Genomic DNA, 11,921 nt, shown 5'->3' with positions numbered 1-11,921 from the left:
GGCTCATATATTAATGCATAAGGGTCAATACTAACATGATTTTACCATAATATCATCAAACTTGAAAAAAATTCCATTGGGCCAGGGATCAGGTAAATTTCATGTGAACATCAAATTTCATAAAATTACTCTTGCAGTACATTTTTTACATGGAAAAATGAATTGCAGAAATATCAGTACATAATCTAAAACTATTTTGATATACTGTTTGAGTTGTCTGTGTCCTTTCACGTTCTCATCTTTCCCTTGTGTTTATGTGTGTGTTCCACTAAAAAACAAATTTATAAAACAATATACATCTTATGTATCTTTTCTATGTCATCAGCTTCTATTTAATAAGCCATCTCATCTGAAGTTCTTTTGGTGGGTATATTTATATGTACATTTTCTGTCCTCTCTGTCTCTCTCTCTTTCTCCCATCCATCTCCTCACCTCTCCCTTCTCTCCCTCTCTCTCTTCTTTCTTTCTTCTATTTTAGAAATTTCTAACTAAAGAAAATATCTTCATCTTTTCTTTAGGTTTCAACCTGAGTACCTGGTGATTAAGCTAACAGAAACAACACTTTACAATTGCTCCTACTGACACCAATAAGGAAATGTGGCAGTTCTCTTAGTTTGGTTCAAAACTGATAATACCATACTTATAAACCAAATATCAGTATTTTTAAAATAATTCATGATTAGAACATCTGTATTTTAAGATGTTTTCTGTTTATATTCAAAAATTAGATGCATAGAGTTTTATGTGAAATGTCAGAATTGAGAGATGCACCATTTATCAAATGGAAAAAGTAAAGAAGTAACACTCTGGACTTTCCTGACTCTCTTTTTATAGTTCTTCTATTGACTCACTTGTGACCTTCAGCAAATGGAGCTCAGGTGAGCTGACTGTAAAACGAGTATAGTCATACTGACCTGTCTACCCGTGGTGTTATAAGACTCAATAAATCAGAGCCTACACAGTTCTTTAAGGTTCTCAGATGAATTGTGTTAGACAAGGGTGAAATGTCAGAGTAGAAAAACTGCTTGTGCCTTTTATACGTCAGTTATTACCAAATGGCCACTACAAAATAGTATCACCTCACACCTTTATAAAATTATTCCCATTTTCTGAAACAAACTAGTTCAGCCACATAAAAATTCGATGCTTAATAGATTGTGTTAACCTCAAAAAGCTGTTTCATTATCTCAAGTATTCAATAAAATATGTAGCCCTGTTATCTCTGATGACATAAATAAAGCTTTTTAAAACAAATTACGGATTAATAAATGCATTTTATGCATTTGCATGTTTCAGCATCTTTGCTTGCTTTTCAGATATGCTGTCGGGTGTTAATAGCTATGTTGTCTTTGCCAACCCAATATATAAGAAGTTGGTAGTATATTTTAAATCATCTATATTCAGAGTTCAAATTAATTTTACTTTGATTTTTTTAAACACTCACTGATTAAACTTAAGGAGCTAAACATCTTAGGCATTTAACTTCAGTGTTGTGTCCTCCCTTATCAGAGCAAAATTGGGCATTTTCCTATGCACAATAGAGGAAAAAAAGCAATTACTATCAATCAGTGACTAAGCAACAGATTGGAGTATTTAGAAAGACTCATTCATACACAGATTTGCAGCAGCGTTCAGCTCTTCTGATTAGATTCCATAGATTTTAAATTGTAGCTAATTAGGCTGTCATAGGTTCATTAATGGCTCTCCTGATTCAGCACTCCCTCACCTGCATGCATATTAAAACTCATTAGCTCCCTTGTCTAAAATACCACCTGCATTAATTGCTGCCAATGCACCAGGACTCTTCAGAAGGCTTTTCTGACAACGATGCTACCTGCTTGTAGTGCCCCGTGCCCCGATAGCTCTTCAGGAGAGCTCACACATAAAGTTCATGGTGCTGCACACGTGGTGAGACTGCAGCTGTTGTAAGGGCAGTCAAGCCTGTTTTACGCTTAACAGCAGGATATAAATAATTAGTGATGCCTGTGCTGTAGGGCTTAACACAAGGCCAGTGTATCCCTTTCTAAGCTTCTACTAAACCATCCCTCTCTACAAAATAAGCTCCCAAATCGTCTTTCTTTTGATTCCTGATTCTGTAAGCAGCTCCCACAAAATGCTAAGACTAAGCCAGAAGAGAAGGAACACTGTAGCTTTCTTTTAGTTCATGTCCTCGGTCTCTTGTGTATGTGAGATGAGCCCCTGGGTAGGGCTTTTGAAATGATCTCAGTTCATAGCTGCCTGAATCAGTTGCCAGCATCAATTAACTAATTATGACCTCACATGTTTTAAAATATCTTTTATCCCTAAAGTCAAAATAGCCTTTCATTTATTTGTTTATTTATTTATTTACTTGGATATTCATTCCCTCAGAGAAGCATCTTTGTAGCAAAAGAATGTGGAATTCGGAGTTATCAACATAATCTGATGGAAAATATTACTGCTTATGTTAAGAAAGAAATTCTACTAAGAATGAGCTGGTAAAAATGGTAATAGTTGTGAAGTTGACTAATGATAAAAGTAAGCCTTACTTTCCAGCCCTTTTGTGTTCTTTAATTCTTTCTTCTTGGTGCTAAATCTTTTAATAGTAGGCTGCTACCAACTGCTAGTTATGATTTCTGGGTATTTCTGTGTCTTCCAAATTTATTATTGTAGTGACTCTTATTTGAGGGTTTCAAGATTTGAGCATGTCAAATTACAAGAAAATTCTATATTTTTATATTTATATATAATTGAGAAGTATTCCACTATTTGTCGAATTTAAATCAACAAACAATAATGGGTAATCAAATTCCATACTTCATATAAATATATCTTAATTATTACTCTTCTATATGCATTGTATTTTCAGTGATCAGTAACTTAATCTAACTTATCCCTGAGAAATAAAAAAGAATTATGAGAAAATGGGAAAATAAAGCAAAAATATATCCAGAAAATGTGCTTTGGGTCATAATAATGTAAGTTATTTTTAGATTATAGATAATTTTAGATATTTATTTTTTACCATTTATTTTATGTATCATTTCAGTTTCATTCCATGGGATTTAAAAATAAGATAATTTTAATAAAAATATTAAAGCAATAAAATTATAAGTTTCATTGTATAGGTAAGGTATCTATAGAATTAAAAGAATGCATTTATTCACATTATATTCCTCTGGATATATTATTTTATATAATGAAATTAATTCAATAATAAATATTTATTATATAAATTATTAATTTAATAGTATTTAATACTTATTAATGTTGTCAGGTGACTTAGTGAACTACTGTTATTTATTGGTTTTAATATTTCACTTGGCACAGGAGTTAATAGAAATCAACAGCAACTTAAAAAATAAGGCAACAGGACTCCACCAAATTCATAGATATAAACCAATAAAACCATCCCTCTAGGTTTTATTCATATCCCACTCCAGATCGTGTCACTAGTATGGAAGCCAAAATAAGAGAATAACTACCAGTATATCTTGCTTCAGAAGTTAATAGATAACTTATAAACTTTAGTTTTATCTGGAACAGATACATTAGTAAAGTACATAATCATTTGTTTCAAGATTTTTCAGCCATTCACTCCAAACCCAGGCTCACTGGATCTCAGGTATTAATTACCTTGTAACTTCCATAATTTCTTAGAGGTGGATACCCATTCTTCAAGCATACTCCCAGCGCAGGGCTCCTCAGAGACCAAGTCTTCAAATTTACTATTGATTATTGGTGTTTGGTTACGGCTGAGGAACTACAGTGCTTTTTTCTGTATGGGCCAATTTTAAAAGACTGTAAATTTCAGAATTTGGAAATTCATTACTGAGTGCAGCCTTTAGTTAAAATGTGAAGGGATGTTTCTTGTTCTCTGTATGTAAACCCTTGGAGGACATGGTGAGCATTAAAAAGATAAAAGTAGTTTATTTCACTTTCTGCAGTGTAATGAACTAGATGCTCGGGAGCCGGCTGGGGACTGCGGAGCTCCTACTGCAAATTGACTACATTCTGTGCTGTAGGTTTTCAGGAGGGTATGGAAGACTTCCTCAGTGCCAAGTCTCCAGGATTAGTTGACTGCATCGCTCCACTAAAAGCCTCAGTTCAAGTCACAGGAGCTTTCCACGCTGGTATGACATCACCAATCTCTCTTAATACTTTGGGTCCCTCTATTACTAGACCCAGGGTCTTAGGCTATTTCTTACTGATTTGATTTATTTTCTAAATTCTGCCAACACCTTTGCAAATTTTGCTTTCACAAAAACTCTCTTCCACCCCAATCTGAGTTTGCCCTCTGTGTCTTCTTGGGCCCATGATTTATATTGAGAGATACGCAATAAATGTTTGGTGAATTAATAAATAATAAATACATAAATTCTATTATTCAAATAATTTTATTTTTGTTTAATTGATCATCTGTTTAATATCACTTTGTTCTATTTTTATTTCTGCTCCTAAATCTATTTTTTTGTTTTCTTCAATTTATTTGGGTTTATTTTTTATTCTTTAACTTCTTAAGGATATTGCTAAAATAAATGTTTGTTCACTTTATTTTCTAATATAAACATTTAAAACTGTACTCTTACTACAGGTACCATCTTATCTGCATCTGATTATTTTATTTCTAACTATTTTTCTCAGTTTATATTATAACACTTTTTAGACCAATAAGTTATTTGGATGTAAATATTTTAACCCAAATTTATACACTTTTGTTTAACTTTTTCTGATAGTTTTAATTTTGTTTCACTCAGAGGAAATGATACATGATTCTTTCATATCATTGATGCTTGTTTCATTTTTTAAAGTTCTTTTTTTTCTCTCAGGGTTTCATTTTGTCATCAGTTGCTGCCTTCAAGTTCACTCATCTAAAATGTCTAATCTCCCATTAATCCTATTTGGTCTTTTTCTCATCTCACATATTCCAGTTTTCATCTCTAGATGTTTTAAGTTATTTTTACACCTTCCACGTCTCTACTTAACTTCTTGAACATCTGGAATACAGTTACAGTAACAGTTTTGATATCCTTTAATATCCTGATTCTAACATCTCTTTCATGAAAGTTATGGGTCTTTTGAAGTTAGTTAATTTTTCTCCTAAATCATATAGTCTTGCCTGTTTGCATTCCTGGTAATGTTTGATTGGACATTATAAATTTCACCTTTTAAGGTCCTGACATTTTCTTTTTAAAATTTATTTTAATTGACAAATAGTAGTTGTACATGTTCATGGAGTACATAGTGTTATTTCGATACCTAAAATACATAGTGATCAGATCAGTGTAATTAGAATATTCATCATCACAAACAGTATTTATTTGAGTTGGAAACAGCCAATGTTCTCCTGTTTCTTATATACAGGAGAACGTTGAATGTTCCGCCAATGCTCTCCTGTTTCAGATAATTTTATTTTTGTTTAATTGATCATCTGTTTTATATCACTTTGTTCTATTTTTATGGGTCCTTTGAGAACATTGAATGTTTCATATATACAGGAGAATATTGAATGTTTCCAACTCAAACAAATACTCAAATAGCTATTTGAAACTAATAATATATTATTGTTAACTATAGTCATCTTACTGTGGTGCAGAATGCTTGACCTTATTGCTCCTATCTAGATGTAATTTTTCAGGCTTCAACCCACCTCTCCCTATCCCTTCCTTCTCACTACCCTTCCCAATCTCTATGTGGAATTTTCTCTTATTTCCCTAAATATTCTTGTGCTTTTAGGGAAATACAGTTAAGTTACTGAAAGCCATTTCTTTTTTTCTAGTCTTTCTGTTAAGATATATTAGACAAGACAGAAGCAATATTTAAGGCAAAGCCTAATTATTTATCACTTAAATGCAAGATACTTCTGCATAATCTACCCAGTGCTCTGTCAACTATGAGCTTCTCCTGTCTAGCTGGTGGAAATAGGCACAGACACTATTTTCTGCCCAGTGTGAGCTCCAGGTACTCTTCTGTCTAATCCTTTTGAGGTGATTTATTTCACAGCCTTAGGTAGTTTCCTCACATAAGTCACATGTATATGTTGATCACTACTCTGCAGAATATTCATGGAATACTCAATAGGCCTCCCAAGTTCCCTGTGAAACTCTTAAACTTCACCAGTACTCTGACATGTGAATATTAGCCTCTTGCTCTCCTCCAACTCCCAACTACGTGTTCAGAACTCAGAGTTCTCAAGGCTTAAGAACTTCCAGGCTTCCTTGCACCTGCCATAGGGCTGGAAGCTCTCAAGGTAGTCAACTGCGGTAGCTGTAGAACTCACTTGTTTCCCATCTCTCAGGGCTCATTGTCCACTAATGCACGATGTCAGGTGTATTAAAAACCAGGTTTTCATACACTGTTTCCAGTTTTGGTTTCCAGTTTCAAGAGGCAGGGTTAATTTGGCCTCTATTTATTCATTACAGGTGGAAGCAAGCCATCAATAAATGATGTTTGAAAAAATATGATAGTAGTAATATCATTACTAGTTATGTTATATACAATATTACTTATATATTTATAATAATTGGGTTTGTAATCATGGGACTAATAGATTAAACCACATGAAATTGATCTAGATAAAAAAGGTAGTTTCTTATACTTCAATCATAAAAAAGCCAATAAGCTCTCAGTCTGAGGAAAAAAAATAGTATCAAAGCAAATGCATATCATATAGTTTGATGAATATAATAAGAATATATATTAAACATAAAAATGCCACAAAGACAAGAAAAGGGTTACTTCTTTTGGAAAATAGGATCAGTGAAGGCTTTTTATAGCTGAAGCAGACACAGGAACTGGATTTTATGATAAGTAGGTATTCATGAAGATGAGAGAAAGAAGACATGTTCAAAGTACAGATACATGACATATAAGATTTGTTTGAGTGAATGCACCAATATGGTATCATAGTAATATAAGTAGAACAGATGCATGTAGGCAGAAACCAGATTATTAAGAACATCAAATGCCATTTCATGTTCATCAATCAAGAACCCCAACTGCCTCCCCAAATGTGTCCATGATGCACAAAATATTTACCACAGCTATTCGCATCCTCCAAAGACTACTGAATTCAGTGAGTCAGATAAGCCAAGCCATAGGTAAAAATATCCATTGATAACAGCTTCCTTTTGTAACTTATCAATGCTGACATGCTTTCAGTTTCAGTGGAGTTTTTATATATCGTGACGTCATTTTGTCACTTACTGAAAGATTAGCTTTAGTTAGGATTATACTGGACTCAAAATTGATAAATTAATAGTAAGGAACTAATTATTATCCTTAGAAACAATGATATAAACAATGCCTAGAGCTTCTGAGTTGTGCCACAAAGCATAATTAACACATAATTATTCACCGATTCAACAAATAATTGTTGAGCACTTATTGTGTGCCAAGCAGAGTTCTGCATTTGTCCCTAGACCGGCTTGTCAAACTATTTCCTGCTTACGCCAATAAACTTCAAGAAAGGTCTGGTGGACCAGATTCTTTAGCAATGCGAAAGGAGGGCTTTACTTACAGGAAGTTTTGTGAAGCACAAAACCAACTGCACATATTATTGTACACATTTATTTATTGTATGGTTTGAAGAATGAACATCTGCATAAAGTAATAATACCATTTGCACCTAAAACTTACTACCCTTAGTAACACAATAATATAAATTTGGAACCCATTCACACATAAAAGAGTCAGATTTGGGATATTTTAAATATGTTATCTTAGTATTTATGAAGAAGAATGTGTTCTCATTAAAAGGAATAGAAGTTAGCTTTAGCACCTACTCTTGATGAATTAATGTATTTGTTGGTGATAAATAACATGCAGTCTTCCTTTAGATAAAGGCAAAGTGACATAAGGTCAACTTTTAATATGTGTAAAGGTTTTCCTGATTGCAAATGCATAATTATCATTTAGAATTTCTAACTCATACCACTTACATTTCATAAAATAAATATTTTATATAAACAGAGATATATAAAAGATTTATTTTCTGTTTTACATCATACTTAATACACTTCACAATCAGTTTTCTTCCACTTGTGACACAGTGATACAATTGCAATTAAGTACATGATTTCTGATAAAATGGATTACATCAGATGTACATACGTAAAATATCCACATACATTGTTGTAATGCATATATATAATCCACATGCATTGTTATTTATACTTATAATTTTATCAAAGATTAAACTATTTTGTTATAACACTTTTTCAGGTGTGCCCTTCTAAAGTCTTACTTCTTCATTCTCTCCTCTACCCAAATAGAAATCTTTTGACAATCTTTAAGAAGTCAGAACTGAAGGACAAATATTTGAATTCTACAAAAATGTGTGATATGTAATTATTTAGCCAAACAAGAGAGCAATACTTACCATATTCACCTCATCATAGACTTTTAAATTTTGGTCTGGGTAAAAAGTATATGGAAATCCAAAAATTATGACATTTATAAAATAATTGATTTTTAAAGATTTCAGTCTCATTCACAAAATAATAAAATGAGTCACTAGCAACATAATTTTCATTAGGTATTTTGAAAATATCACAAGACAATAAAACAATTAAATGCACACATATGTCAGAGATACTACAAGTTTGGTTCCAGACCACTGCAATAAGGTAAATATAATAAAGCAAGTTACACAAACTTTCTGATTTCCCAGTGCATCTAAAAGCTATTTTTGCACTATACTGTAGTTTATTAAGTGTGCAATAGCATTATGTCTTAAAAATGTACATACTTCATTTTAAAATATTATATTATTAAAACATGCAAAAGATCATCTGAGCCTTCAATAAGTCACAAGCGTTATATTGACAGAGGGTCTTGCTTCAACATTGATTTATGCTGACTGATCAGGGTAGTGTTTGCTAAAGGTTGGAGTGGCTGTGGCAATTTCTTAAAATAACAAAGTTTGCCAGGTTGATTGGTTTTCTTTATAAGAGCGATTTCTTTGTATCATGTGATGTTTTTTGATAGCATTTTTTCCAACAGTTCTTTTGAAATTGGAGTCAACCCTCTCAAAACCTTCCCCTGCTTTATTAACTAAGTTTATGTAATATTCTAAATACTTTGTTTTCATCTAAACAATGTTCACAGTATCTTTACCAGAAATAGAGACCATCTCAAGAAACTGCTTTCTTTGCTCATCTATAAAAGCAAATCCTCTTCCACTCAAGTTTCATCATGAGATTGCAGCAATTTTTAGTCACCCCTTCAGACTCTATAATACTTCTAACTATCCTGCTATTTCCACCGTATCTGCAGTGACTTCCTCCACTGATGTTTTGAATCCCTCAAAGTCATCCATGAGGGTTGGAATAAACTTCTTTCTAAATCCTTTTGATGTTGTTATTTCAAAATCTTCCTATAAATCACAAATGTTCTTAAAGGCATCTAGAATAGTAAATCCTTCACAAAATATTTTCAATTTACTTAGCCCAGGCTCATCCAGAACAATCACTATCTATGGCAGCTATAGCATTATGAAATGTATTTCTTAAATAAATAATATTTGGCATTCAAATTTACTCCTTTAGCAATGGGCTACAGAATGGATGTTGTGTTAGCAGGCATGAAAAAACAGCTTTAATTTTCTCATTCATTTCCATCAGAGCGCTTGGTTGACTAGGTGCACTGTCAATAAGCAGTAATATTTTGAAATAAATATTTTTTTCTGAGCAGTAGGTCTCAACACTGGACTTAAAAACATAAATGTGATAGCTGAAACCATGAAACTAATAGAAGAAAACAGGGAAAATGCTTCATAAAATTGGATCGGGCAAGGACTTTTTGAATAAGACCTCAAAAACACAGGCAACCAAAGCAAAAACAGACAAAATGGGATTATATCAAACGAAAAAGCTTCTGCACAACAAACGAAGGAAACAATTAATAAAGTGAAGAGACAACCTGCAGAAAGGGAGAAAGTACTTGAAAACTATACATCAGACAAGGAATTAATATCCAGAATACATAAGGAGCTCAAACAACTCAGTAGAAAGAAAGAAATCAAATTTAAAATGGGCAAAAGGCCTGAACAAACATTTATCAAAAGAAGACATACAAATGGACAAAAGATATATGAAAAAGTTCAACATCACTACTCATCAGAGAGATGCAGAAAAAACCATGAGATATCACCCTACCTCAGTTAAAATGGCTATTATCTAAAAGACAAACAATAACAAATATTGTTGAGGATGTGGAGAAAATGGAACTCATACACTGTTGATGGGAATGTAAATTAGTACATCCATTATGAAATACAGTATGGAGCTTCCTCAAAAGAATAAAAATAGAACTACCATGTGATCCAGCAATCTTACTTCAGGATACATACCCAAATAAAATGAAATCACTATGTCAAAGAGACATCTGCACACCCATGTTTATTGTATTACTATTCACAATAGCCAAGACATGGAATCCATTTAAATGCCCATATCTGTAGATGGGCATTTATGTGGATTCCATATCTTGGCTATGGAACAGTAATACAATAAACATGGGTGTGCAGATATAGAATGCACATCCATGGAATCTGTAGCTCGGCATTTAGGTGGATTCCATATCCTGGCTATTGTGAATAGTAATGCATGTATATGCATTGAAATATATATGCAGTGGAATGTATACACAGCTTCTTCACTTATCTCAGCCTTTATAGAATTGAAGAGAGTTAGGGCCTTGCACTGGATTAGGCTTTGGCAAAATGAAATGTTGCTGGTTGGATCTTCTATCTACACCACTCAAAGTTTCTCCATATCAGCCACCTTCTTTTTCGTATTTTCACTTTCTTATCATTCGTGTGTTCACTGGAGTAGCACTTTTAATTTCCTTGGATAACTTTCCTTTGCACTTACAGTTTGGCTAACTGGTGCAAGTGGTCTAGCTTTTGGCCTGTTTCAGCTTTTAACATATCTTTCTCACTAAGCTTAATTATTTCCAACTTTTGACTTACAGTGAGATACATGTGACTCTTTTTCTTTTCACTTGAACACCTAGAGACTATTAAAATTAGTATTATTAATTCGTCTAATTTTAACAGTTTTGCCTCAGGGGATAGGGAAGCCCTAAAAGAAGGAGAGAGATCGGGAACAGCTGGTAGATGGAACAGTCAGAACACACACATTTATTGATTAAGTTCACCATCTTATATGGGCGTGATTCATGGTACCCCAAACAATTATAATAGTAACATCAAAGACAACTGAACACAGATCACCATAAGAGATATAATAATAATGAAAAAGTTTTAAATATTGTGAGACTTACTAACACATGACACAGTGACACAAAGTGAACACATACTCTGGGAAAATGGCACCAGTAGGCTTGCTTGACATAGCATTGTCACAGATCTTCAATTTGTAAAAAATGCAGTATCTGTGAAGCATAATAAAGTGGAGTGCAGTAAAATGAGATATGCCTGTTTATAACCATAAATCCAGAATAATCCACTATATTTTCTGTGTTTTTGTATGATTTTGTCTTATAATTTTAAATCTATCCAATATCCTGTAGGAAAATTAAGCCATAAGCTTCATGTGTAACATAAATCTCTGATGTATTTTAATAATTTTAAAATACCTGTACCTTCTATAGGTTGAGGGATAAGATCTGGTGATTGCTAGTACATCCATTTTTTGTGAAGAACTAAATTGAAAATGAAAGTTAATTGCATATAAAGGTAACAAATATACAGTGTATTTTTGTTAGCAAATTATATCTGGTAGACGTTTATCTGTATTTTCTCCTGACTTTCACATCAACTAATTCATTTTCCAACTATTCCAGAATTTGGAAAAATTACCCTAATGTCAATGAGTGAAGCCATTTCTAAGTAGTAGCATGGTGGCAACTACTAGGTTGGCTTACCACACTTCCATAGACTCAGCTGGCAAGGAGACAATAAATATAAATAAATATAG

General features: G+C 32.9%; 3 annotated features.

Annotated features, from left to right (window-relative positions):
- Positions 1,126 to 2,176: an enhancer, noted in NCBI's record as "VISTA enhancer hs799". NCBI's record gives its function as "enhancer in: forebrain[12/13]" and the evidence as "EXISTENCE:transgenic organism evidence [ECO:0001131][PMID:17130149]".
- Positions 1,126 to 2,189: a biological region, named in NCBI's record as "VISTA enhancer hs799".
- Positions 1,688 to 2,189: an enhancer, noted in NCBI's record as "NANOG hESC enhancer chr7:9271295-9271796 (GRCh37/hg19 assembly coordinates)". NCBI's record gives its function as "activates a minimal SCP1, AML or CMV promoter by ChIP-STARR-seq in primed H9 embryonic stem cells {active_cell/tissue: H9 hESC(primed)}" and the evidence as "EXISTENCE:reporter gene assay evidence [ECO:0000049][PMID:30033119]".

The sequence above is a fragment of the Homo sapiens genome, chromosome 7 (assembly GCF_000001405.40).
Source record: "Homo sapiens chromosome 7, GRCh38.p14 Primary Assembly".
Lineage (NCBI taxonomy): Eukaryota > Metazoa > Chordata > Mammalia > Primates > Hominidae > Homo > Homo sapiens.
This window is presented reverse-complemented; position numbering and strand designations above follow the sequence as displayed.